The sequence below is a fragment of the Homo sapiens genome, chromosome 16, assembly GCF_000001405.40.
Source record: "Homo sapiens chromosome 16, GRCh38.p14 Primary Assembly".
In the NCBI taxonomy this organism is placed as follows: domain Eukaryota; kingdom Metazoa; phylum Chordata; class Mammalia; order Primates; family Hominidae; genus Homo; species Homo sapiens.
The window spans coordinates 84,567,684-84,595,093 of record NC_000016.10 but is presented as its reverse complement, the minus strand read 5'-3'; the positions used below and the strand labels follow the sequence as shown (position 1 = coordinate 84,595,093).

Sequence of the window (27,410 nt, the reverse complement as noted above, 5' to 3'; positions counted from 1 at the left end):
GTACTTGGGACACAGGGACAATGCCTGTGGTTCTTCAACAAGAATCTGTGACCCTCCGGGGGCAAAGGGTGTTGCCCAAGGTAGACCTGGGGAGGTCTGAAAGAGGGGAAGGGTGGATGTGGAGGGTTGGAGGTGCGCAGAGCATGGCCGGCATGTGGAGGCACTTGGCAGCCAGCAGAGAGGGCAGACGCTGGAAAAGCCATGGAGCTCCGCAGAGGAGCCAGCCAGAGCCGTGGGAGGGGGCGACACTGAGAAGAGAGAGAGGCTGGGAGAGCTGGCTCAGCCCGAAGCCTTGGCCATGGGCTGAACACATGGTTGAGGTCCCCAAAAACTGCGTTGGCCCAAAGCAGGGCTGGTAACTTACCTCCATGGAGGCTTGGGCCAGGGATGGGTAGTTTGGATCCAAGTCCGGGCTGACCAATGTGGAAATGGGAACCCGAGAGCGGTTACCATGGAAACACACTCACCGTGTTCTTTTGCTTGTGAAATGCAGTCGGAGGCGGATGTTCAGCCCCTCCTCCCCCTCAGGTCAAGGCTGCCATTTAATTAAGCACTTTGGTGTTGATGCTCTGACGACACTCCTCAAAACAGAGCCCTGGCTTCCCAGACACCACGGGGACTGCTGAGAAATGCTCTCGAGCTAAAGCGCTGCTCCCCCACACTCCAAGTCTGCACCAGCCGCCTGTGGCTGCGCACTTTGCACCTTACAAGTGAGGAACTGCCATCTCTTGCACCAGTCTCGTTTCCTGTGCGCTGTGGCCACCTGGCAGCCCCGCCCTGTGTCAGGAGCTTTAGGTTGGAGGTTCCACCCTGATGGGCTAGGTGGGTTTTGTAGCTTTCACTTTCAGTCATCATGGTCAACTGATAAGGGAGGCGTGAAATCACCCCATTTTGGAAGGATCCCAAATGTCTATCAACTGATGCACTGATAAGCAAAATGTGCTCTCTCCATGCAATGGAGTGCTGTTCAGCCATAAAAGGAATGAAGTGGTGACCCGCACATGCGGCAGCAGGGATGATCCTTGGAGATGTGACGCTGAGTGAAAGCCAGACCGCAGAGGCCACATAGCATATGAGTCCATTTCAATGAAATGTCCAGCACAGGCCAATCCATAGAGACAGAAAGTGGAAGAGTGGCTGCCAGGGCCTGGGGGAATGGGGTGGAGAATGGGGAGTGACTGTTCTTGAGGACGGGAGTTCTCGTTGGAGTGGTGAAATTAGATAGTAGCGATGATGGCACAACATTGTGAGTGTCCTTAAAGCCACTGAATTGGATGCTTTAAAGTGGTTAAAATGGCCGGGCGCGGTGGCTCACGCTTGTAATCCCAGCACTTTGGGAGGCCGAGGTGGGCGGATCACGAGGTCAGGAGATCAAGACCACGGTGAAACCCCGTCTCTACTAAAAATACAAAAAATTAGCCGGGCGTGGTGGCGGGCGCCTGTAGTCCCAGCTACTCGGGGGGCTGAGGCAGGAGAATGGTGTGAACCCGGGAGGCGGAGCTTGCAGTGAGCCGAGATCGCGCCACTGCACTCCAGCCTGGGCGACGGAGCGAGACTCCCTTCTCAAAAAAAAAAAAAGTGGTTAAAATGGTGAATTTTGTTATGTGACTTTTATCTCAATAAAGAAAAGAACGTGTTTTACAGGTGAGGCAGCCCAGGCTGATGTTTGGGAATTCAGGCACAGTCCCCGGGGCATGGGAGGTGGGGCCCTCACCCCTCGGGGTCTCCTGTGCCCTGGACTCCTCTGTCCTCACCTTCTCACATCCAGTTGGTCACCAGGCCCTGTGGATTCACCTGCGCAGTGTCCCTGAGACCATCCTTCCTTCTATCCCTGCTGCGTTGTTACCTACTGACCCCCAGATAGCCATGGCCTGGTGGGGCATTTCCCTGGAGAAAGGGGGCTGAGCACACACACCCAAGGTGTCCAGGCCCTTGGCTCTGGCCTCGTGTTGAGAGTCTGGCCACATCACGTGGCCTCTGAGCCTCCAGCCCTTATCAATGAAGGTGATTTGGATGTTGATGATGAAAGTGGCCATGACGTCTCTACCTCATCTGCCTCCCAGCGTTGTTACAAAGACCAAATGAGATGAAATAGAAGCATGTTTTGTAAACTGAAAAGTGGTGTGCCAATGTGAGTGGTGATGACGATCAGTTTCCTTTAAGAAGTAAGTGTTGTGGAGTCCCTGACCCTGGACTGCAGCTAGGATCACGCATTCATGGTCTGCTGAGAGCTGCGTGTTCCTTAGCTCCCGGGGACAAATGGATGACCCGTTAGACCACCCGGCTTCTTGTTGAAGGCGAACGTGCTGGTTACCCCCTCCGGTTTTGAGATAATCACCAGGAAGTGAGCTTGTCAGCTGCAGGCCAGTATCTCCTGTAGACAGGTGGTTTGTGTCCTTGGGTCTTGGTGCTAACCTACATGCTTCGTGCGGGACTCTGCAGGGACGTACTTAGATTCTAGGAAGAAACGCAGATTGATTTTTTTTTTTTTTTTTAACTCAGTGTGATCCTTTGACCAGTAGCATCAGCATCACTGGGAAGCTTCTTAGAAGCGTAGACCCCAGAGCTGTTTAATCAGAAGCTGCGTTTAAGATTTCCCCAGTGATTCAAATCCACACAATGTTTGAGAAGCAAACATATCGCTCTACGATATCATTAGGTGCCTGAGAAACCCTCACACCAGCAACTAAACGCCCTGAGAGAGCATCAGTTTATGCAAGTGGCTAATACAAGGTGAATGACTCCAAACCAGTGGCATCCCTATGTGCCAGCAACCACCACTTAGGAATTGTAATGAGATCTTGGTGATAATGGCAGTTAAAATATGAACTGTTTGTGAAGTAAGCTGAATAAGGATATGTGATCCCCTCAAGAGGCACAGAACTTTGTTGGAAAACACAAAAGGGGTCCCAATTAAATGGGGACACCAACGGTTTACAGCAGAGGTTCTCAACTGGGGGTGTTCTGCCCCCTTTGGAGGACATCTGCAATGTATGGAGGCATTTTTGTTTGTCATAACTGGTGGGGCCAGGTGAGGGGTGCTGCTCAGCACCCTGCAATTTACGGGATGGTTCCTACCAGAGAGAATGATCTGGCCCCAGATGCCAGTTGAGCTGATGTTGAACAATTTTGGTTTATCCTAGTGGGGTACACATGCACCCGCATGCACACGCACACACATGCAATGCACACATACACATGCACGCACATATTTTTATTTTATTTTATTTTATTTTATTTTATTTTATTTTATTTTATTTTATTTTATTTGAGACAGGGTCTCAGTTGGCCACCCAGGCTGGAGTACAGTGGCGTAATCTCTACTCAACTGCAGTCTCAACCTCCTGGGCTCAAGTGATCCTCCCACCTTAGCCTCCCTGGTAGCTGGGACTACAGGTGCCTGCCACCGTGCCCAGCTAATTTTTTGGTTTTTTTTTTTTTTTTTTTTTTTTTTTTTTTAGAGAGGTGATTTCTCCATGTTGCCCAGGTTGGTCTCAAGCTCTTGGGCTGAAGTGATCCTCCCACCTTTGCCTCCCAAAGTGCTGGGATTACAGGGGTGAGCCACCATACCTGGCCAATACACACATCACTTTAAAAATTCAAAAAATCAGGCTGGGCGCGGTGGCTCACGCCTGTAATCCCAGCACTTTGGGAGGCTGAGGCGGGTGGAATACAAGGTCAGGAGATCAAGATTCATCCTGGCTAACACAGTGAAACCCCATCTCTACTAAAAATACAAAAAATTAGCCAGGTGTGGTGGTGGGCGCCTGTAGTCCCAGCTACTCGGGAGGCTGAGGCAGGAGAATGGTGTGAACCCTAGAGGCCAAGCTTGCAGTGAGTCGAGATCGCGCCACTGCACTTCAGCCTGGGCGACAGAGCGAGACTCTGTCTCAAAAAAAAAAAAAAAAATTCCAGAATATCAAATGATATTTTGATAATACAGAGCAGTGGAGGGTGGGGGAACTTAGCATAGTGGATTGTGAAACAAATTTTAAAGTCATGATAATAAAAACAGTGTGGCATTGAAATAAAACTTAATGTGGATCAATGGAACAAAATAGCCCTCAAAGCCATTTTAATAAAAATGACTATATAAGATAGAACAAGCATAACACAGCCAATGGAAATGTGTTCAGAATTCATTGTTGACCTAATTGCCCTAGTCATAAGTGAAATATCCTCGGAGCCATATCCCGGGCCAAATTAAGAGCCATTTTCTTTGTTTCCTCTTCATACCCAGCACCCCCCTTGCCCCTCCTGTCTCTCTACAGTGTAGAGTCTCATTCCAAACTGCAAAGATTGAGGCAAAAAGAGTTGATGAATTTCTGGTCTACAAAGAGGATGAATTTCTGGTCCCTAAATAAGATCCATAATTTGAGCCTTTTTAAATTTTTATTTTTAAATTTTTTTTGGCTGGGCCCTGGCACTGCTGGCGGCACCCACATCTGTGCAATGGGCCCACCCAGACTTTGAGCCTTGATTGTAGGAAGGCTGTAGGCGTTGCAGCCAGAAAGGCCTGGGTTTAAATCCCAGCATGACCTTGAATTCCCTCACAACCTTGAAAGTGCCATGTGACTTCTCTGAATCTCCATTTCCCATCTGTGAAATGGGCATGAAGCCTGCAGCACTGTTGCCAGGATTCAGGGGAGTGTGACAAGGGCAGCGGATGAGTGCTTCCCTCCTGTCCTCTGCACATGGTGCTCCCAGGGAACTGCACCGGTCTCCTGCTGTGCTGCTCCAGGCGCACTCGTGGCTCACAGCCTCTCCCCAGGGACATGACATGGGGGTGTTTTAACGCAGCACCATGTTCTCTTTTCGCTTTTGGCCACAGATGACGTCCGGTTGTTTGCCTTCGTGCGCTTCACCACCGGGGATGCCATGAGCAAGAGGTCCAAGTTTGCCCTCATCACGTGGATCGGTGAGAACGTCAGCGGGCTGCAGCGCGCCAAAACCGGGACGGACAAGACCCTGGTGAAGGAGGTCGTACAGGTACTGAGTTCCTCCAGAGTCTGGAGGTCAAAGCTCGCCAAGGGTCACCATCCTGCAAGGAGGGAGAGGGCTGGGTTCGACTCCTGGGTCTGTAGCTTAGCTGTGACTTGGGACAAGCCATGCTATGTCTCTGCACCAGTAAAGCCATTGGTGAAATGTCACCAGAATTGTTTCAGGATGCTGGCTAGGAGGAGTTAACTGTGTTTACGATCCCACCTATCCCATAACAGAAGCTTGGCAGCTGGGTGCCTGCCTCCGTGGGTGGGGCAGGTTGCTTGCTTCTAGAGACGGGAACTGGTGGGGGGACCAGAATAGCGGCCACTACCCTGTGGTGTCCTGGCTGACTGTCGGCGGTGGTCGCAAGGATCCCGTGGGAGAATTCATTTGTACCCTCTCTGAACAGTGCCTACTTTAAGTCTTTTCCATTCTGGCCATTAAAGAAAATGGACATTTGCAATGTCAGAAACTTCCAAGGTTGTTCACTTGGGGTACGGGTAACACGGTCATGTTGAGAAAAGAAAATCTGAACTCCAAAAGGTAACCCCGGGGTAGGGTAGATGAGGGAGAGAGGTCTTTCCCTACTAAAGGGATCTCCATTTCGCAAAAGGATTTCTCACAACCCATGAAGTAGGGAATCTCTCCCTCTTACTGCGCCTTTAAACTGTTGTTCAGGTGACCAGAAACAGTGTGTTACACGTCCCTTCAGCAGCTTGTCTGTTACAGAGGGCGGGGGGTACCACTGCCCATCCTCCACCATGCACATTATTTTAAAGATTCAAAGCAATGTAATTGGTCCATGATAAAACAAACGTTTAAAAACAATAGACTCAGCTGGGTGCGGTGGCTCACGCCTGTAAATCACAGCACTTTGGAAGGCTGAGGTGGGAGGATTGCTTGGCTAAGGAGTCTGAGACCAACCTGGGCAACATAGTGAGACCCCATCTCTACAAAACATAACAAAATAAAATGAGCCAGGCATGGTGGCACATGGCTGTAGTCCCAGCTACTTGGGAGGCTGAGGCGGGAGGTTCGCTGGAAACCAGGAGGTCAAGGGTGCAGTGAGCCATGATCGCACCACTGCACTCCAGCCTGGGCAACAGAGCGAATTCCTGTCTCAAAATAAATAAAAAACAAATAAAAAATAATAGTCTAATGATGGAAGTGGGTGATAGCTAAAGACACAGGGTTTCTTTTTGAGGTCATGAAAATGCTTTAAAATTGACTATCATGGTGGTTGCACATATCTGTGAATATACCAGAAATCACCAAATTGTCAAAAACAAAAACGGGCTGAGCACAGTGACTCACACCTGTCATCTCAGCACTTTGGGAGGCTAAGGTGGGAGGATTGCTTGTGTCCAAGAGTTCAAGACCAGCCTGGGCAACATAGTATTAATAATACTCCATCTGTACAAAAGAATAAAAAATTAGCCCTGTGTGGTGGTGCATACCGGTAGTCCCAGCTACTTGGGAGGCTGAGGTGGGAGGATGGCTTGAGCCTAGGAGGGCGAGGCTGCAGTGAGCCAAGATCTCGCCACTGCACTCAGACTGAGTGAGTGTAGTCAGACTGAGTGAGACCCTGTTGCAAAAAGAAAAACAAACAAAAAAATAGGCTATCTGCAATGTGCTATCTTGAATTGGACCTTAGAACAGAAAAGCTGTTGAAATATAAATAAAGTCGGGAGTTTAATTAATTGTAATGTACCAATGTTGACGTTTTCACTGTGACAAATGTACCACAGTAATGTAAGATGTTAACAGTAGTGAAATATGTATGTGTGTGTTAAGAGGAAGGTAATATGGAAACTCGGTGCTACCTCTTGCAACTTTTCTGTAACTCCAAAGCTCTTCTAAAATAAATTATTATTATTATTATTATTATTTTTAAGAGAGACAGGATCTCACTATATTGCCCAGGCTGGCCTCGAATTCCTGGACTCAAGCATTCCTACACCTCAGCCTCCGAAAGTGCTTGGATTATAGGCCACCACGCCCAGCCCCTAATAAAACTTTTATTTAAAAAATAACAATATGGCCAGGTGTCATGGCTCCCTCCTGTAATCCTAGCACTTTGGGAGGCCAAGGCAGGCGGATCACGTAAGGTCAGGAGTTTGAGACCAGCCTGGCCAACATGGCAAAACTCTGTCTCTGCTAAAAATACAGAAATTAGCCGGGTGTGGTGGTGGGCACCTGTAATCCCACCTACTCAGGAGGCTGAGACAGGAGAATCTCTTGAAACCAGGAGGCGGAAGTTGCAGTGAGCCAAGATCTAGCCTTTTTTGGAGCGAGTCTCCAAAAAAATAAATAAAATAAATAAATAAATAAATAAATAATGATAGGACATAATAGAGTCCTGTGGTCCCCCTGTCAGTTCCCGCTTTTGGACGTCCCTCCTGGCCACTCTCTGGACGGGCTCGCCTCCTGCCTTTCGGCTTTGCTGTGGTCCCAGCCTATAGGTCACACTCTCATCTGCAGCTGCTTTTTTTAAGGTTAATGTAATTTCATAAATGATATGGATGCACCACCTTTGTAATTCATGGTTTTCTGGTAGCAGAGTGTCCTGGTTCACAAGTGTACCGTCATGTACTAAATGTTCCCCTGTTCTTGGCCTCTTAAGTTGCTTCCAATTTTTATTTTTATAAAGAATGTTCCAACCAACATTTTAATACATGCAGCTCCTTTCTGTCTTCTGTTGAGTTATTCTTTTAGAAAACAATCTCGGGAGGTGGGGTTCCGGAGTTAAGAGGCGAGATAATCATTTTTAAAAGGTATGGGCATCAGATTGGCTTTGAGCAGTGCTAGCACTGTGCCTGGGACCGAGGAAATGCTGACAAAGGCCATTTGTTTCACATGTAGTCAGCGTTCCTGGTTGACACTGCTGTCTGCACCCTGTCTGGCCTGGGAGCCCTTGTTTTGGAAAACCACTTATTCAACCCTACAGGCTGTTTTTCTCCAGGCCAGTTGGGTTTTAATGGTTAACCAGCTTCCAGGGGTCTTCCGAGTGGCAGCAGGATGGAAAATGAAAAAGAAGTCCTGTTCTGTGGCCAAAGGTCTCCTGCTGAATTCCGCCCGCCGTGCTTGGCCCACTCCTGGACGTCGCCGGGAGGAAAGGGAGCAGAGGGAGGGGGCTCGCCAGGATGTGTACACGGGGCACCACATTGCAGATCTTGCAATTCTCTTTTGTCTTCCTATTTAAAAAACTGTGGTAAAATACAGGCCAGGCGTGGTGGCTCATGCCTGTAATCCTAGCACCTTGGGAGACCAAGGCAGCCGGTCACCTGAGGTCAGGAGTTCGAGACCAGCCTGGCGAACATGCCAACACAAACCCCGTCTCTACTAAAAATACCAAAAAAGTAGCCAGGCATGGTGGCACGTGGCCTGTAGTCCCAGCTACTCGGGAGGCTGAGGCAGGAGAATTGCTTGAACCCAGGAGATCAACTCAGGAGACTGAGCCGAGATTGCAGCAAGACTCTGTCTAAAATAAATTAAATAAATAATAAAAAATTGTAAAATACAATAACATAAAGTTTACCATTGTAGCCATTTTAAAGTACAATTCAGCTACATTAAACAGAGTTCCAATGTTGTGTAGCCATCACTGCTGTCTAGTTCCAGAACTTTCTCATCACCCCCAAAGGAAACCTCATACCCACTAAGGCAGTCTGCAGAGTTTCTTTCCTCTCTAGAACTCTTTTCAGTTTGGGTAGGTGCGCCGGTGACTGAGGGGGATTGGAGGAAATTAATTCCCTGCTGGGAACCTTTAGGTGGGAGTAGTGGTGATAATTCTTACGTTTGCAAGCTCAAGTAAGTTGAAGCACAAAGAGGAATTGCTTGGCTCTTGGTAGTGGGAAGTGCAGGGGTTTCGGCTTTAGGTGTGGCTAGATCGAGGGCTCATGCAGTATTTTCATCTCATCTCTCAGTTCTGTTTTTCTCTGGGGTTGGCGTCAGGCAGCCTCTGCACAGCCAAAGAAACGGTCCATGCTATGGTGGTCCCTCTGGGTCAGGATCCCAGAAGAGAGAGGCCTCTTTCCTCAGTGTCCGTCAATCTCTTAAGAGGACCCTGATTGGCCCAGCTTGGGTCACGTGCACACGCCTTTGGGCAGGGAGGCGGGGTTTCATGATTGGCAGCTCCAGCGTGATCCCAGTTGTTAGAGAAAGGGATGCTGGTGAATGAAGAAGCGCAGATGTGCATTGCAGTGGGGGAGCTGGAATACTGGCCTGAACTACAGGTGCAGGCTCATATTTTGACCATTATCATTTGCATTTTCCACCTCTCCACTTACGAATGTTAATTATCTGAAGCTGCTACAAGACCTTACATTTATACTGCAGTTGCAAATATAGCCATTTAGGTGACAAAGGGTCCATTCTGCTGGTATAATGCTGTCTTTCCACGGCCGCTAAAACCATGCAGAGACTGGCATGCCTATCAACTTCCCCTCTGCTTCACGGGGATTCAGAGCGGATGTTCTCTAAGGGACCTTCCAGATGGGCCCATTCCGGGTGCCATGTCTTGGGGACCAGGTCACTTCCCCAGCTGCACTTTTTGCCATCATTTCCATATGAAGAAGAAGTAGATTGGCTTTTAGTTTAAGATTACTGTATTAATAAACCCTTGACTTTTTGACAGTAATAAAGTAATGCACATGCATTCTTGTGCTTTGTGTGAAACGTGGAGGGTGTAAATTAATTGCACGGTCATTGATGTGGAGGAACTTGAATCCAGGGGGGCGATTTTTTTTTTTTTTTTTGGAGACAATCTCACTCTGTCACCCAGTCTGGAGTACAGTGGCACAATCTCAGCTCACTGCAGCCTCTGCCTCCCATGCTTAAGCAATTCTGGTGCTTCAGCCTCTCGAGAAGCTGGGGATTACAGGTGTGTGTCACCACACCCAGCTAATTTTAGTGGAGGGATCTGTATGTCACTAACCACCTGCCTGACCATGGGCAAGTCTCTCCCTCCCTGGGCCTCAGTGTCCTCATTTGTAAAATGAAGAATGGGATGAGTTGACTTGCTGTGTCATATTCTATTTTGGCGTATTCTGGAAATTTTTCTTTTCTTTTGTTTTAATGGAGTAATTTGTTTATGAAGGCATTTTACCTTTAAATGAACCTTATTTTACTTTGCCAAGGGGGAAGGTGTAGTACGGTGGACTTTGGAGCCAGATGGCGTGGGTTCAAATTTCAGCTCCATCACTTACTGTGTGGCCTTGGGCACATGGCTTACCCTCTCTGGGCTCAGTCACCTGATGTATAAAGTAAGGGCAATATAGTGCCTGCCTTGTAGGGTTGTGGTGGGGATTAAATGAGCAAATATAGGGAAAGTGCTTAGAACAATGTCTTAATTTCTGGGACCCGGAAGTAGTAGCTGTTATTTCCAGTTTTCTGTTTAGACAACACCGTGATGCACAGTTCACGCAAGAAATGTTTCTACACTGTAGATTATTTCCTTAGGAGATGCTAGATACAGATGCTCAGCTCCAGGACACAGGGCGTGAATCTTGTTGTTCACGGATATTGCCAGCCGTCAGCCACACAGGAAGGGTCTGGCCTCACCCACACTTGCCAGCGCTGACCTCAAAAAGCTCATACTTCACCTGTGGCCGGCACACAGGTGCATCAGCATATGGGGAAACTGAGGCCCACAGCAGTGCTAGGACCTGCCCTAAACTCACAGTTAATGAGTGATAGAGCTGGGGCTAGAGCCTGGAAGAATTAGGAGTGAAGTTCAACTCTGATCCTCTTTAATCTGTATTCAGAGCCTGAGAAACTGAGAGGCGTCTGTGGCTGGGGGAAAACAAGACAAAACAAGACAAATGCCAGCAAGGCCACGGGGCAGCAGGGGCTGCCAGGCAAGCTGGGCAGGGCGATTGCGATGCCCAGACTCCAGTCCGGGGAATGCGCTGAACGCACAGCACGCACGGCTGGCTGGCCACAGCTGTTGTCTGCCACACAGAAGTACCCGGCTGGTGCCCAGGACAGAACCTCGCTCCTATCGTTCTCGTGTCTCTGCAGGATTGTGGGGACAATGCAGTGACCGCTGGTAGTGACCTGCGATGTGCCAGGGCCAGGCTCTCTTGATTTAGAGCCATGCTTGGTCAGTGCTGCATCATGCTTGTCTTGCAGGATGGGTTCATTCACCTGATCCTTTTATTGATTCTTTAACATAATATGAACGTTCACGGAGCCAGGAATCCAGAAGGCATGCAGCTCAGCTTTCAGGAACAGAGGACAACAGAGGCTGCTGCCTCCAAGGAGAAGTGGAGGTGGGAAGGATGGACGTGCCAGGGATGGTGTGAACTAGCCAATTGGAGTCTATTCTGATAGCTTCTGAGCCCCAGGACTAACCAGGCTTAGTGGCGCACACCTGTAATCCCAACATTTTGGGAGACCAAGGCAGGAGGATTGCTTGAGCCCAGGAGTTGGAGACCAGCCTGGTCAACATAGTGGGACCTCGTCTCTACTAAAAACAAAAAAAAATTAGCTGGGGCATGGTGTCGCATGCCTGTTGTCCCAGCTACTCAGGAGTCTGAGGTGGGAGGATCGCTTGAGCCCAGGAGTTGGAGGCTGCATGAGCTGTGCTCGTGTCATTGCATTCCAGCCTGGGTGACAGAGGAAAACCCTGTCTCAAAAATAAGTAAATAAATAAATAAAAATAAACCCCAGGGGCAGGATCGGCTTCATTTCTGGGACCAGATTTAGCCACCCCTCCCCTCTGAGGGCCTCTTTTGGGTACCAATGTGGCAATAATATGAATAACAATAGTTTTATTGTGGCCCTACTATGTGCCTGACACTCTGTGAAGGACTTTCCGTGTATTAAATCATTTGTCCTTCACGAGGCCAGGTCTGCCACTTGCCCTGTTTTATAGATGAGGAGCTTGGGATCCGAAGAAGCTGAGTAACTTGCTCAAGGTCCGGGTGCTTGGACATGGCAAAGCTATGCCTGGAATCCAGGCTGTGGGCTCAGAGCCCCGACACGGCCACTTCACCACACTGCACATTTCCCAAGGCTTCTGGCACCAGGGAAGAGGTTCGAAGGCCGCAAGCAGGGCTGGATGCTCCTTTTGTAGACTCGTGTTGCACATGAAATTAGTTTTTAAATTTCCTGATTCTCGATCTTCCTTGATGGTGGAAGCTTTAAACTGGAACGTGAACTTTTTTGCTCTGTGCTTACTTTAAAAAAGTGCTGCTGTGTGAAATGGAGAAAGTTACGGCGTGTAGGGGAGTGAGACTCAAGTTGATATTCTGGCGCCATCAGCTCACAGGTGTAGGACTTTGGGCAGGTATTTATCACTAGAATTTCTGTGTTTTCACTTAGGAAAAAGAGAATGTAAAATTTCACAGAGTGGTTGGAATGATTAAAGAAAAGCAGTAGGTGTGAAAAGGGCTTCTCCATTTTGATGCCTGGTGAACTATTCATCCTTCAAAACCCGGATTTCTTACCCCATTCTCCTACCAGCCTCAATCAGAATTAATTGTGCCTATATCTGTATCTACTATGGTCTAGATAGTATTATAATTAAGGAATTATAATTAAGTAACTAACAAGGAAATAATCTCCTAAAAGGCAGAAGCCATGGCTGCTTTGTGATTGTACTCCTAGTGCTGGAAGATTACTGTGTGCTAGCACATAACAAGGGCTAAGAAATGAAGAAATGAGGCCGGGCGCCATGGCTTATGCCTGTAATCCTAGTACTTTTTGAGGCTGGAGCAGGTGGATTGCTTGAGCTCAGGAGCCTGAAACCAGCCTGGGCAACATTGTGAGACTGCATCTCTGTTTTAACATAATTTTTAAAAATTAAGAAATGGGCTGGGCGCAGTGGCTCATGCCTGTAATCCCAGCACTTTGGGAGGCCGAGGTGGGTGGATCACTTGAGGTCAGGAGTTCGCGACCAACCTGGCCAACATAGTAAAACCCCGTCTCTACTAAAAATACAAAAATTAGCTGGATATGGTGGCATGTGCCTGTAATCCCAGCTACCAGCTACTCAGGAGGCTGAGGCACGAGAATTGCTTGAACCCAGGAGGCAGAGGTTGCAGTGAGCCGAGAGATTGCACCACTGCACTCCAGCCTGGGCAACAGAGCAAGACTCCATCTCAAAAAAAAAAAAAAAAAAAAAAAAAGAAGAAATGTATCTGCTCATGTAGGCTCTTTGTGTATTACCAGGACAGAAGCTTATAAATGCTCAGTAACTGTTCTCTGCATTAAATTAAATTGTGGAAGCTAATTACACTCAGGGGACTTGGGGCTAGGTTGAAATTTCCAAATCTCTGCTTCTGTTTCAATAGAAAGCAGGAGGCTGAGCGCAGTGGCTCATGCCTGTAATCCTAGCACTTTGGGAGGCCAAGGCGGGTAGATCACCTGAGGTCAGGAGTTCGAGACCAGCCAGGCCAACATGGGGAACTCTCATCTCTACTAAAAATACAAAAATTAGGCTGGGCATAGTGGCACACGCCTGTAATCCCAGCTACTCCGGAGGCTGCGGCAGGAGAATCGCTTGAACCCAGGAGGAAGAGGTTGGAGTGAGCCGAGATTGTGCCACCTGCACTGCAGCCTCGGTGACAGAGTGATACTCCATCTCAACAACAACAACAAAAAATTAGAGAAAGCAGGAGTGAGAGCTGACTGGGGCAGCCGGGAGAACCTACAACCCTCCATGGGATGAGATTTACGAGGCTGCTGCTCCCCCTTGCAAAGCATGAGTTACCACTTAGCACTCTGCGGACCATCCACAGACTGTTCGCTGCCTTCAAAGGGTTTCAGCTGTTTATTTCTATGTGGCGTGTTTACACTTCCTTAAGCCAGTGGTTCATGGAAGGACGGTATTTGCATAACCAGAAGGGCCTTTTTGGCCTGATGCATTTCACCTGGGCCTGGGCTCAGGCCGGGGGCACTTCTTGTTGCTCATGTCATACATACATACATACATACATATATTTATTTGTTTGTTTGTTTGTTTTTAGATGGAATCTCACTCTGTTGCCTAGGCTGGAGTGCAGTGGCGACATCTTGGCTCACTGCAGCCTCCGTCTCCTGGGTTCAGGCGATTCTCCTGCCTCAGCCTCTCAAGTAGCTGGGACCACAGGCACCTGCCACCATGCCCAGCCTAATTTTTGTATTTTTAGTAGAGATGGGGTTTCACCATGTTGGCCAGGCTGGTCTCAGACTGACCTCAGGTGATCTGCCCGCCTCAGCCTCCCAAAGTGCTGGCATTACAGGCGTGAGCCACCATGCCTGGCCTCATGTCATATATTTTTAAAACACAAATTGCACAATTGAAAAATAAAAAGCTCCCATGCAGCCTGTGAATGGTGGGATCAGGTATCGTATATGGAGGGCCAGGCTTATTCATCCATGAGCCGGGGGCTGTACTGACCCCAATATACAGATGAGGAAACTGAGGCTTAGGGAGGACTAGTTCTTGAGCCAAGGTGAGTGTTCAGGTGGAAGCCAGATGGTGGGGGACTGGAGGCCACTTTAAATGTGGGGCTTTTATAATGGGAGGGCAGTGAGGAGCCCTGGGAAGATCTGAAACTCAAAAGCGATGCATCTGCTTTGTTGATCTTTTACTAAAGAGGTTAAGAGCCCTTAGGGGAGCTGAAGTGGGAGGATTGCTTGAGCCCAGGAGTTCCAGACCAGCCTGGGCAATATAGTGAGACCCTGCTGCTACAAAAAATATATGAAAAAATTAGCCGAGCATGGTGTTATGTACCTGTAGTCCAAGCTACTCGGGAGGCTGAGCCCAGGAGGTCAAGGATGCAGTGAGCTATGATCACACCACTGTGAGGATGCAGTGGCACTCCAGTGTGGGCGACAGAGCAAGACCTTGTCTCAAAAACAAGTCTTAGAGGGAAAAACAGTCTCCTAGGAGAAAGAAGGAGATCCCTGCACCCTAGGTTTGGGCCTGGCATGTAAATAAAGCCACCTGAATAAGCAAAGAATTCTGCCCAGCGGGCTGTGACCTGGCTGCCCTCCACCAAACTCCAGACCAGTGCCAGCCCTTGGCCAGCCTGCCCTAGCCTGGTACCTGCCCCAGGCACCTGCCAGCAGCTGGCCTCCGGACGCTGTGGTGCAGTGATTCCCGACACAGTCGCTAGCACGGTATACAGTCGCTGTGCCGTGAGGATGCAGCATTCGAACGTGTACAGGTCTTAACCTGAAGAAATGAATCTGGAGAGCTCTTTGTGTGTGAAGTGCATGTTTCCCAGCCTTCATGAAAGGCCGAAGGCTCACTGCACTCTACATCTTGCCCCTGTGTATGAGTGTCTTTCCTCCCCCTCTTCTCTTCCTCTTCCCTGGACCACTGCATACTTTTGTCCACCTCTTGTCATTCTTTATTCTCGGACATCTTGCCTCGTGAGATTCCCTTATGAAACAAGCACACACGCTTAGTCTTCGCCCCGTGGTGGTTTTATTCTAAGTCGCTGTGGTTTGCCGAAAGGGTTCCGACAAAATGCAGGAGCTAAGTGATCAGCCACTACCCCCCACCTCACACAGAGGGGTCTGCCCCTTCCCGTGGAGCCCTTGCCACAGCCTTTAGCAGAGCAGAGATATAGCCTGTGTCCTTTCTCTTGACATTTCCTAAATGCTTTTTGTTTTTATAATTTGTTTTTGAGATGGCATTTTGATCTTGTCACCGAGGCTTGGAGTGCAGTGGCACGATCTCGGCTCACAGCAACCTCTGCCTCGTGGTTCAAGTGATTCTCCTGCCTCAGCCTCCCAAGAAGCTGGGACTACAGGTGTATGCCAACACACCCAGCTAATTTGGTATTTTTAATAGAGATGCCATGTTGGCCAGACTGGTCGCGAACTCCTGACCTCAGGTGATCCACCTGCCTGGGCCTCCCAAAGTGCTGGGATTACAGGCATGAGCCACCATGCCCGGCCTGTTTCTATTATTGTAATGGCCAAATATTATTTTGTAAGTGGATGTAGTACAACATATGTAAGTCTGTGATACCCATTTTGTGTGTGTGCACACCTCTGTATGGTGGTGTGTGTGCATGCCTGTGTGTGGGAGTGGATGTGTGTGTGCCTGTGTGTATATATGTGTATGTGTGTGCACTACTGTGTATGAGGGTGGATGTGTGTGCATGCATGTGTATATGTGTGTACGCATGCTTGGATGTGCATGTGTGTGCATACCTGTGTGCACCTGTGTGTGCATGCATGTATCTGTGTGTATGCATGCATGTGTCTGTGTGTGCATGCGTCTGTGTGTATGCATGCCTGCATGTGTATGTGTGTGTGCATACCTGTGTTTCTATGCACCTGTGTGTGTATACGTTTGTGTGGACATATCCCTGTGTGTCTGTGTGTGTATGTCTGCACATGCCTGTATGTGCATGTGCATGTATGTGTGTGAGAGGGTGTGTGCATGCCTGTGTGTGTGCACCTGTGTGGGTACATTCCTGTGTGTGTGTGTGCACACTTGTGTGGGTGCATGCCTGTGTGTGTGTGTATGCCTGCGTGTGTGTGTGTTGGTGTGTGCATATCTGTGTTTGTGTGCGTGCATGCCTGTGTGTGTCTGTTCCTCCACCTGGTGAGTTCCCTGGCGTGGAGTGAATCCTGTGATCTGCTGGCTACTTCACTTCCTTTGTCCTCAGTTTTCTCATCTGAAAAATGTGTATGATAATATCTCATGGAATTGTGAAAATTCAATAAGATACCATGTATAATAATTGCCTGGCGTATATGAAGTGTTACGTAGATAGTATTTACTTATTTATCCAACTTTTGCTGAAAAATGGAAACAGCCTGGTATTTACTGGCAATGAACATCTTTGAGTATGTATGTTGTTATTTTTTAAAAATTCTGTTATTTCTTTGGGAAAAATCCCCAAACATGGATGTGGCTGAGGAATAAGAAATGCTGGGCACAGTTTTGATGGGGCAGAAGTTGAAGATCTGAACCTGGATTTAATCTCTAGCTTGTCAACTGATCAATAAGCTTGGGCTATTTGGAGCTCCGGGTTAAGGGAGATTCTGAGGTTAAGCCTGGACTCGGTGGGGAAAGTGCCATGATTAATTTGTGATGTCTCCTGTGGACACCGGAGAGAGGAGAGTATGTTTCCCACTTGCTTTCCATGCCTGGTCTAGATGAAGCCGTAGTTAGAAATTAGGCAAGGTGCGTTTGGGGCTTCTGTAAATCTCTGTGGTCAGGAAAGCCGAGCCTGAGACTCCAGGCAGTTGCCCAAATGCTGAAGAGGTCAGGGGCCCTGTCGGGGTCACAGATCCAGGCATAGGAACAGCCGCCTCTATTTGGTTTTGGCCAAAACACTCACAGCGTGCTTCTAGGACATCACAGTGTGCTTCTAGGACACCATGCCTTCCATCTTCATTAGATGGTTACCCTGTGTCCACCCGAAATACAGCCGTGTGCCTCTGTCTTGGCTTTTGTTCCTCAAGTACAGCAGGGTCGCGTCACTCCTGAGCTACGAGGGTTTGACACAGGTGCCTTTGTTCCTGAATCTGTCAAACCCGAGCCCGTGCCATTTTGATCTGTTAGTTTTTCCCTTTATCTATAATGACTCATGCCTATTATAAGAACCTGTTCCGGCCAGGCATGGTGGCTCGTGCCTGTAATCCCAGCACTTTGGGAGACCGAGGCAGGTGGATCACCTGAGGTCAGGAGTTCAAGACCAGCCTGGCCAACATGGTGAAACCCTGTCTCTACTAAAAATACAAAAAATAGCTGGGTGTGATGGCGCATGCCTGTAGTCCCAGCTACTTGGGAGACTGTGGCAGGACAATCGCTTGAACTTAGGAGATGGAGGTTGCAGTGAGCCGAGATGGTACCACTGTACTCCAGACTGGGCAGTGGAGCAAGACTCTGTCTCAAAAAACCAAAACCAAAACCAAAACCAACAAACAAAAAAGAACCCATTCCTTTTGAGTAAATTATACCTTGCTGGTAGAGTTTTTAAAACCTCGGTCTTTCAAGCACTTTGAATAGTTGTGGGAGGGAGGTGTAGGGGCCTCGGTGGGGTTGGCAGCAGGTGCCCAGTGGGTTTCATAGCTGTGTGTTTTCATTTGGCTCCTCTTCCTTGGGGATTGCCTTGTCTCCTAGCAAGATTCAGGGTGCTGGGGACTGTGGCTGTATTTCTTCAGCAGTTCAGAGTCTTTGGTTTATTGGTCATCATCACCCACTTGTGGAAAAGACACATTCATGTGTCCAGCACATGTCTTGTCTATCCCCGGCTCCATCTTATGCCTGCGGGAGGGGAGATTCTAGTCCCCACACCGTGTTGTGAGGGTTTGGGAAGGACCTGAAGCCAGCAGGCAGCCTTCATTGTGAGAGCTATGCTCTGATCCCAAAGCTGACTTTTCCATGCCAGGTTTCCCCATTGCCCTAGGATCTGGTGTCCCTGGTGGAACTTCGTCCCGTGTCTATGTGCTCTGGAGGCTTAGGTGTAGGATCCCTGGATGACTGGTGGGGAAAGGCTGGGGGACCCTGTTGTCCAGCCTTCTTCTTTCACAGAGGTGGAAACCAGGGCCCAGAGCCATTAAATACTGCCTTCCGGGCATTTCAGAGCCCGCTGCTTCTATTTTTCTATTCTCAGTCTGTCAGAGAGACCAGTAAGTACCAGAATTTTGACTTCCCAGAGCCTAGGAGAGTGTATGGCATATGACAGGTGTTTATTAATGTGTGTTCGTGGGAAGAACAAATTGTGTCGCTTTCATTGTCTTTCAATACAATGAAGATCAGTTCCTCTCCTGGGCCCCACTTCATAGAAATATGCATTCCTGACTTCACAAATGGAACTGCCCAAGAATCCCCACTCATGTTTTCTCCCCGGAGCTTCCCCTGCACCCACATTCTCTGCATTGGTTAGGAATATCCTCATAGGCGCAACACTCCTGAATAGCAGACCTTACACTTGTACCCCGACAGGCCTCCTTGTTCCCTGAAGCTAACCCTGGGCCTGGCTTTGGGGTTTGCAGCCGGATTTGTCATCTTCTGTCTGCCAGTTTCACTGACTTGGTTATTCCAAGGAATTCCTGGGACTTCCCTTTGTTAAAAAATAAACGTTAGGAATGAGAAGAGGAACTAGCTACTGCCTGTGTCTTCACTCTGAGTGACTGAGGGAACTTCATTAAATCTCAGATTCCCCTAACGATCCTGAGAATGAAGGTGAACCCACAGTCCTGTAGAACATTCTCTCTGACTGTTGAGCACTCCGCTTTGTACCAGGTGTTCTCATCAAGTGTGCAAGCCCCTTTTATGCTCATACGACCCTCCCAACAGCCCTAGGATGTGAAGCTGCTATTGTCCGCATTTGCAGATGAGGAGACTCAGGCTCAGGGAGGTTGAGTCCCCAGGGAGGCTCAGGCCACTGGAGATGCCTGTGGACAAGGGTGCCTGTTTGTATTTGGCCTGGACCTGCTCCCAGCATGCTGGGGTTTAAACCTGGGCAGTTGGGAGCCATTAAAAAATGAAAAGGGGTCAGGTGTGGTGGCTCATGCCTGTGATCCCAGCACTTTGGGAGGCCAAGGGGGGGAGATCACTTGAGGCCAGGAGTTCGAGACCAGTCTGGCCAACATGATGAAACCCTGTCTCTAATAAAAATACAAAAATGAGCCGGCCGTGGTGGTACGTGCCTGTAATCCCAGCTACTTCAGAGGCTGAGGCAGGAGAATTGCTTGAACCTGGAAGTGGAGGTTGTGCTGAGCTGAGATTGCACCACTGCACTCCAGTCTGGGCGACAGAGTGAGACTCCGTCTCAAAAAATGAAAATAAATAAAAATAAAAATGAAAAGGATGGGCTGGGCGTGGTGACTCACCCCTGTAATCCCAGCACTTTGGGAGGCTGAGGCGAGTGGATCACCTGAGGTCCGGAGTTCAAGACCAGCCTGGCCAACATGGTGAAACCCCGTCTCTACTAAAAATACAAAAGTTAGCCAGGTGTGATGGTGGGCGCCTGTAATTCCAGCTACTCGAGAGGCTGAGGCAGGAGAATCGCTTGAACCCGGGAGGTGGAGGTTACAGTGAACTGAGATTGCACCACTGCACTCCAGCCTAGGTGACAAGAACAAAAACTTCATCTCAAAAGATAAATAAATAAATGAGAAAAGAATGATTTAAAACCAAGACAGGAGAACATGCACTTTAAAATCCAGCGTGGCAAATAGATGGCTAGACTCTGTACAGAGCCCCTGTACCTAACCCGTACCCTCTGCTATATTACCCTCCTCAGAAAGGTGGAGACAGGTTTCAATGGATGTTTATTTTGCATCTTTGAGGCATGAATCTATAAGCACTTGAGAAAGGTCACAGGGACAAAACTTGTCTTCATTCATGACCAGCCTGGCCAACATGGTGAAACCCCGTCTCTACTAAAAATACAAAAATTAGCCAGGCGTGGTGGTGGTTGTCTGTAATCCCAGCTACTCAGGAGGTAGAGGCAGGAGAATCACTTGAACCCGGGAGGCAGAGGTTGCAGTGAGCCGATCGCACTATTGCACTCCAGCCTGGGCAACAGAGTGAGAGTCCGTCTCAGAAAAAACAAAAACAAAAAAACTGGTCTTCCACTTGCTGGTTGCATAATTCCAAACCATTCAAGCAGCTTCAGCCGCTTGGAGTGAGACTTCGTCGGATGAGGCCCTTGGAAGAAAATCCTGCTTTGGCAAGAAAAGAGAAGTCCCCCGTCTGGCAGCTATGAGAGAGCGACACCGAGTTCCCAGACAAAACAAAGAGCTTTCTTCAGCCACAGGTGACGGTGCCCCCAGACTGACACATGTTGCTGTGCAGTCTCTGGCAGGTTGTGGCAGCTGCCTCGAGGGCTTGGCAGTCTAGAGCAGCCCCTGGAGGCGGGATGTGGGGAGAAAGTGGGGCTGGCACCAGGAACGCATCCCCAGGGCCCTGCCGGGAAGTTGCTGTGTCCCCTGGGATGAACTGCGTCCCCTCTCTGGGTTGTTGCTGGTCCTCTACATAATGAAGAGGTGAATGGCAGGTCTCAAGGGTGGAGTGCAGTGGTGCGATCATGGCTCACGGCAGCCTCGACCTCCCAGGCTCAAGTGATCTTCCTGCCTCAGCCTCCCAAGTAGCTGGGACAACAGGCGCACACCACCACTGTTGGCTATTTATTACTATTATTATTATTATTATTTGTAGAGAAAGGGTCCCACTGTTCCCCAGGCTAGTCTTGGAACTCCGGGGTTCAAGCGATTCTCCCTTCTCGACCTCCCAAAGTGCTTGGGATTACCGGCGTGAGCCACAGCGCCCCACCTCCCTTCACTATTTTGTTCAGCTGAAACACAATTTACATAGAGTAAAACGCAGAGATCTTCGGAATACTACTCGTTGAGTGTGTGTGTGTGTGTGTGTGTGTGTATGTATATATATATATTTTTTTTTTTTTGAGACAGAGTTTCGCTCTTGTCACCCAGGCTGGAGTGCAATGGTGCGATCTAAGCTCACTGCAACTTCCGCCTCCCCGGTTCAAGCGATTCTCCCGCCTCTCACACCCAGCTAATTCTTTGTATTTTTAGTAGAGATGGGGTTTCACCATGTTGGCCAGGCTGGCCTTGAACTGCTGACCTCAGGTGATCCACTCACCTCGGCCTCCCAAAGTGCTGGGCATGAGCCACTGCATCTGGCCCAAGTTTTGTGTATTTTGAATGTTCATGATGCATACCTTTGAAGCCACCACCCAGATCTGGACATGGCGCAGATGTCCACCCCTGTCGGATGGGCTCTAATGCTCTGCGATTCATGATTCTGTTTGCCTGATCACATTATTCTTTCAGACGCTTTCGTGTTCTGTCTAGACCTGCGCTGTTGCTGGCCACGTGTGGCCACTGAGCGCCTGAAAGCGCACCCAGCCATATCAGTGTGTGCCGTATACCCGGAGGGCACACAGCGTTTCTAAGGCTGGGTTCAAAAGAAATGAATGTAAAGGACCTCGTCAGTACCTTTTAGCATTGATTACATTGTGGAAATGACAATATTTTGCATATATTGGATTAGATAAAATACTATTAAAATAAATGGCACTGGTTTCTTTCTTACATTTTTCAATGTGGCTAGTAGCAAATTGAAAATTCCCGGCCAGGCAAAGTGGCTCACGCCTGTAATTCTAGCACTTTGGGAGGCCGAGGTCAGTGGATCACTTCATCTCAGGAGTTTGAGACCAGCCTGGGCAACATGGTAAAACCCCATTATCTACCAAAAAAAAAAAAATTAGTCGGGCATGGTGGTGTGTACCTGTAGTCCCGGCTACTTCGGTGGCTGAGGTGGTAGGATTGCTTGAGCACAGGCGGTGGAGGTTGCAGTGAGCTGAGATTGCACCAGTGCCCTCCAGCCTGGCAGCGTGGGTGACAGAGTGAGACCTGTCTAAGAAAAAAAAGGAAAGAAAGAAAATTCAAAATTCTGGCCTTTGGGAGGCCAAGATGGGTGGATCGCTTGAGCCCAGGAGTTGGAGACCAGCCTGGGCAACATGACGAAACCACGTCTCTACAGAAAAATACAAAAATCAGCTGGACGTGGTGGCTTGTGCCTGTATTTCTAGCTATTAGGAAGGCGGAGGTGGGAGGATCGCTTGAACCTAGGAGGTTGAGCCTGCAGTGAGCCGAGATCGCACCACTGCACGCCAGCTTGGGTGACAGAGTGAGACTGTGTTTCAAAAAAAGAGAAATTAACATTCTGTGTGTGTCCGCATTGCTCTAGGCCCTGGAAGTCTCCTTCTGATGAAGGACTTGCCTCCTGAGTCTTGCCACCTGCCCCTGCCCCCGTGGGTGTTGGTGGCATGTGGGTGCTGGCAAGTGCTGTGTCTTGAGGTGTGTGTGGTGTAGGGGTGGCCACGCTTTGCATGCATATGTTCCCTCTGGTTTCCAGCCTCAGGTGCAAGGCAGACTTCAGCTGCTCCACGCAGGCTCCCTCCAGTTTCAGGCATTGCTCCCAAGTCAGAGTCTGTCTGCCCAGAGCTGTTTTGCTCAGCTTCTGCCTCGTTTTGAAAACATGCAATGAAGCCCACTCCCCAGTGGTGCTTGCAACTCCCTTATCTCATGGGAGCCGCTGGAAGGCGTGGAGGTGGAGAGGTGTGGAGGTTGTTGTCAGTTGGTTTTTAGGCTGAGGCTCAGGTTAGACATTTTGGGGACATTCTGTGGAGTCCACGCCCTGAATGGAAGGTGCTGGCTCACCTTTGTAAGCCTCTGGGGGCTTGGGAGCACCCCGTGTAGGATGGAGGCCTGCTAGTACCCCCTCCATGCGGCCTGACCACCTGGGCCCCTGCAGAGTTGCTGCTGGCCCTATAGAAGGTGGGAGCGGCTCGGTGTCCACTCAGGAGCAGGCTGGGGTCCAGCTCTGGCTGCAAGGGAACTGACCACTGTTGGTCACAGGCCCGTCTCACCGTCTCACCCATGTGTCCACGTGACGTCCAGGCAATGGGCCCGTGCATGACCAGTCTGCCGGTGAGGTGACAGCGGGGAGCCGATCCCAGGGGGATGATTGGATGGAGATGTAGACACTTTATTTGGAAGGTGCTAGGAGTCACTGCCAGGCTCAAAGAACGGGGAAGGGGTGGACAAGACACAGGAGCAGCACGAGGAGGAGACACAAAGAGGGGAGGGAAGCTGATGGGCAGGGGGGAGAGATGAGCGGACCCAGGTGCAAGGGTGGAGAGCAGTGGGCTGGGGCATGACTGCCGCTTAACCAGCCTCATGGTGTCACTCGCCGAGCCTCAGTTTCCCCTTCTGAATTGAGGGGCAAGAGATGACCTCTAAGGACCACCAACCCTGCTGTCTATGAGGCCATGGTGATACTAAGGCCCAGAGGGAGCCCGGACCTCCAGTGTCCTCCGTCCATCCCTTCTCTCTGCTCGGCTTTGCACTGGCGTGGGCTGCATCGAGTCCCAGGCTGTACACCTTGGCAGTCACGCGGCGGGGGCTCTCGTGTGAGGACGGGAGCAGAGCCAAATGCACCAGCTGTCAGCCAGACTGAAGGTGAAGGGAGCCAACAGGCTCATGTCTGAATACAAGGTCTTCAGCCCACCCCTGGAGGCAGTATGTCAGGATTCTTCCGAACAGAGAATCTGGGGTCTGTTCTAAAGGGGCCTAGAGCATGGCCATGGTCACTGTATCTTCAGAAATGTTTAAAGTTTTGTCTTTCTTGGTCATTGGAAGAGGCAAAAAAGGAAAAAAAAAAAAAGCAGGAATGAGGGAAGACTCAATTTTGCACATTCTCTCTGTGTTCCCCTGAGGATAAATTGGAAACGAAATAGGAATACAGGACTTTTAGGTATGAGCCAGTTCAGTGTGTTAAGACACTTGCTTTCTAACCCTTTGCTTTTTGGCAGTAATCGGATTGCTGGACGACTTGTCTTTTAAGACCTCTCTAAGTACTGATGATAAAAACAGCCCTTCAACAGGGAAAATAACCTTCCATTCTATTTTCTACCGAGCAGAGAGGAAAGAACATCAGCTGAGCCAGGAGGGTTATCAAGTTGCAGGATGACCCTGTTTATCTTGTGAGACTCAGTTTGCTTTAAATGTTTTCAGAGATCATATGGTTGCTTTTGTATATACTTTTGTTTGTATAACTTGGAATCATTTTTCTGCTAATCTTTTGATTTTAAATATGTCTCTGGTATGTAGTACAAGGTTTGAGGGTTTTTTTTTTGTAGTTTGAAACATAGCATTTTTAAAGATAATTTTGTTCATTTACATTTATTGTTATGTTTTACTAGATCTGCTGTCTGTTTTGCTTGTTTTTGTTTCATTATAATTTGATTTCCTAAGTACTTGTGGTTTTAGGTTGACCTGTGCCTAGCTCCATGTATCTTTCATTTGAGATTTCTTAGACCTTATCAAACTTATTTTTCTTTTTTTGAGATGGAATCTCGCTCTGTTGCCAGGCTGGAGTGCAGTGGCGCCATCTTGGCTCACTGCCATTTCTGCCTCCCAGGTTCAAGCCATTCTCCTGCCTTAGCCTCCTGAGTAGCTGGGATTACAGGCTCGCGCCACTACACCCAGCTGATTTTTATATTTTTAGTAGATTAGGGTTTTCACCGTGTTGGCCAGGCTGGTCTCGATCTCCTGACCTCATGATCTGCTCTCCTCAGCCTCCCAAAGTGCTGGGATTACAGGCATGAGCCACCATCCATGGCTCTCAAACTTATTTTTCTTAATCTAAATCTTCTAATAGCTAACCGACTGGAACTTCAAGTGTTCTTATTTCTGTAGATTGCCATATATAGCTATCACAAAGCAGAGGAACTTTGGACTTTTCTTCTATAAGCATCTTAAGCTGTTGGCTTCCTCCTTCTGAAAGCTCTCTGCCCCTCCCTCATGCCGTGGGGCTCAGGGTTGAGAAATACATTAATTCTCAATTCTCCTTTCTGGCTCTTACATCCAACTTGTGTTCTTTCATTGCACGGATCACATACACTTAGTAACACACTGTAGTGGGGTGGGAACAGAAAGGATCTCAAGGGTGTTCTGTCATTCTGGGCAAATCTCTCCAAGCCCAGCCCATGAGTCTTATCTTCAAAAAGTAAAATAAAATAAAGTTAATATACTGAGGGCTGAACGAGAACATGAGTGAGGCTGTTCCTGGCACACATCAGCTGCTTGATAAAAATTAACCTCCCGTTCTCCACTTTGTTAGTGTTCTCAGTGGCTTTGCGCGCCAAATGCATTGTCTTTTTATTGTAAAGCTTGACTTCGGGATGCTCCTGGGCTCATCATTCTTGGCAATATGGCGACTTTTTTGTTTTTTATTTTTTAATTGTGGTGGAATTCATTTAACATAAAATGAACCTTTTTATGTTTATTTATTTATTTTGAGACAGATCTCACCCTGTCGCCCAGGCTGGAGTGCAGTGGCGCGATCTTGGCTCACTGCAACGTCCGCCTCCCGGGTTCAAGCGATTCTCCTGCCTCAGCCTCCCCAGTAGCTGGGATTGCAGGCGCCCGCCACCACGCCCGGCTGATTTTTGTAGTTTTAGTAGAGATGGGGTTCCGCCATGTTGGCCAGGCTGGTCTCGAACTCCTGACCTCAGGTGATCTGCCTGCCTCGGCCTCCAAAGTGCTGGGATGACGGGCGTGAGCCACCGCACCTGGCCTGAACCATTTTAAAGTGTACAATTCAGTGGCTTTCAGAACATTCACAGTGTTGTGCAAGCCCTACCTCTGTCTGGTTCCAAAACTTTTTCATCACCCCAAAAGGAGATGGTGGCTCTTTCAAGACGCCAGCTTTGGCATCAACTGGACCTTCTGGTTGTCTGACTTCGGACAAGCATTGTAATTTCCAGCCTTTGTTTCCTCACCTTTAAAATGGAAATAATGTTGATCACCTTACGGGCCTTTTTAAAAAGAACTTGATTGAGGTATGATGTATGTACCTCAAAATCAAGTCATCCTAAGTGTACTTTTTCAGTACTTTTTCGTGAATTTGTGGAGTTGTGCACCCATTACCACAATCCCAATTTTAGAACGTCTCTATCATTTCCTGTTCCCATCTCCAGCTCTGTGTAACCACGAGTCTGCTTTCTGTCTGTATGGGTTTGCCTTTTTTAGACATTTATACCAATGGCAGCTGACAGTACATGGTCTTCATGCCTGGCTTCTTTCACTCAGCATCCTGTTTCCGAGGTTCATCCATGTAGTTGCGTGTGGCAGCGCTTCATTCCTCTCTGTGGCTGAGGAATATTCCATTGTGTGGACGGACCGTGTTTTGATAATCCACTCCTCTGTTGATGGACATAGGGGTTGCTTCCACCTTCCATGATTCATATTTACTACTGTGTGTCATTCTCAGTACTGTGGCACTGTGCTGGTACACATAAGTGCTTAATAATTGTGGTTAGCCGGGCGTGGTGGCTCACGCCTGTAGTGCCAACACCTTGGGAGGCCAAGCTGGGCGGATCACTTAAGGCCAGGAGTTTGAGACCAGCCTGGCCAATGTGGCGAAACCCTGCTTCTACTAAAAATACAAAAAATAGCTGGGTGTGGTGGCAGACGCCTGTAGTTCGAGCTACTTGGGAGGCTGAGACATGAGAATGGCTTGAACCCTGGGGGCAGAGGTTGCTGTGAGCCAAGATTGCGCCACTGCACTCCAGCCTGGGCAACAGGCTTTTCTCTCAAGAAAAAGAAAAATGGTGGTCATTGTTTATGTTATTTCCTTATGGGCTTTTTTTTTTAATGTGGATGATTTTCTTACCTTTAGACGTGTTATTTGTGGTTTTGATAGCTTTTTTTTGTCAAGCTGTCCGTCATCGTTCTGAAATTTTGTTTGTTAAAGTCTTATGATCCACATATGGCAGTAACTGTGTATCATCATGGCTTAAGGGTGTCTGATAAGCCAGGTCACCTGGTTCCCTCATTCATGCCACAAGCGTTTACTGAGTGCATCATGGGTGCCTGCGGGTTCTATGGGTGAAACCTGTGTACTGCAAGAGGAAAGACTGACTGCATCCATT

At 48.7% G+C, this 27,410-nt stretch overlaps 1 protein-coding gene across 1 annotated transcript in view, besides 6 other annotated features; it reads left to right on the top strand.

Moving 5' to 3' along the window:
* Positions 1-27,410, top strand: part of COTL1 (coactosin like F-actin binding protein 1) — a 52,483-nt gene that overhangs the window by 22,985 nt on the left and 2,088 nt on the right. Inside the window, exon 3 of the mRNA NM_021149.5 lies at positions 4,832-4,989. Within this exon, the coding sequence (NP_066972.1) occupies positions 4,832-4,989 (158 nt within the window). The remainder of the gene's footprint in view (positions 1-4,831; positions 4,990-27,410) is intronic.
* Positions 903-1,202: an enhancer, noted in NCBI's record as "active region_11244". NCBI's record gives its function as "activates an Ori minimal core promoter by ATAC-STARR-seq in GM12878 lymphoblastoid cells {active_cell/tissue: GM12878}" and the evidence as "EXISTENCE:reporter gene assay evidence [ECO:0000049][PMID:35858748]".
* Positions 4,268-4,767: an enhancer, noted in NCBI's record as "H3K4me1 hESC enhancer chr16:84623933-84624432 (GRCh37/hg19 assembly coordinates)". NCBI's record gives its function as "activates a minimal SCP1, AML or CMV promoter by ChIP-STARR-seq in naive H9 embryonic stem cells {active_cell/tissue: H9 hESC(naive)}" and the evidence as "EXISTENCE:reporter gene assay evidence [ECO:0000049][PMID:30033119]".
* Positions 8,857-8,906: an enhancer, noted in NCBI's record as "active region_11243". NCBI's record gives its function as "activates an Ori minimal core promoter by ATAC-STARR-seq in GM12878 lymphoblastoid cells {active_cell/tissue: GM12878}" and the evidence as "EXISTENCE:reporter gene assay evidence [ECO:0000049][PMID:35858748]".
* Positions 10,891-11,396: an enhancer, noted in NCBI's record as "H3K4me1 hESC enhancer chr16:84617304-84617809 (GRCh37/hg19 assembly coordinates)". NCBI's record gives its function as "activates a minimal SCP1, AML or CMV promoter by ChIP-STARR-seq in naive H9 embryonic stem cells {active_cell/tissue: H9 hESC(naive)}" and the evidence as "EXISTENCE:reporter gene assay evidence [ECO:0000049][PMID:30033119]".
* Positions 17,750-17,929: an enhancer, noted in NCBI's record as "active region_11242". NCBI's record gives its function as "activates an Ori minimal core promoter by ATAC-STARR-seq in GM12878 lymphoblastoid cells {active_cell/tissue: GM12878}" and the evidence as "EXISTENCE:reporter gene assay evidence [ECO:0000049][PMID:35858748]".
* Positions 22,239-22,771: an enhancer, noted in NCBI's record as "H3K27ac-H3K4me1 hESC enhancer chr16:84605929-84606461 (GRCh37/hg19 assembly coordinates)". NCBI's record gives its function as "activates a minimal SCP1, AML or CMV promoter by ChIP-STARR-seq in naive H9 embryonic stem cells {active_cell/tissue: H9 hESC(naive)}" and the evidence as "EXISTENCE:reporter gene assay evidence [ECO:0000049][PMID:30033119]".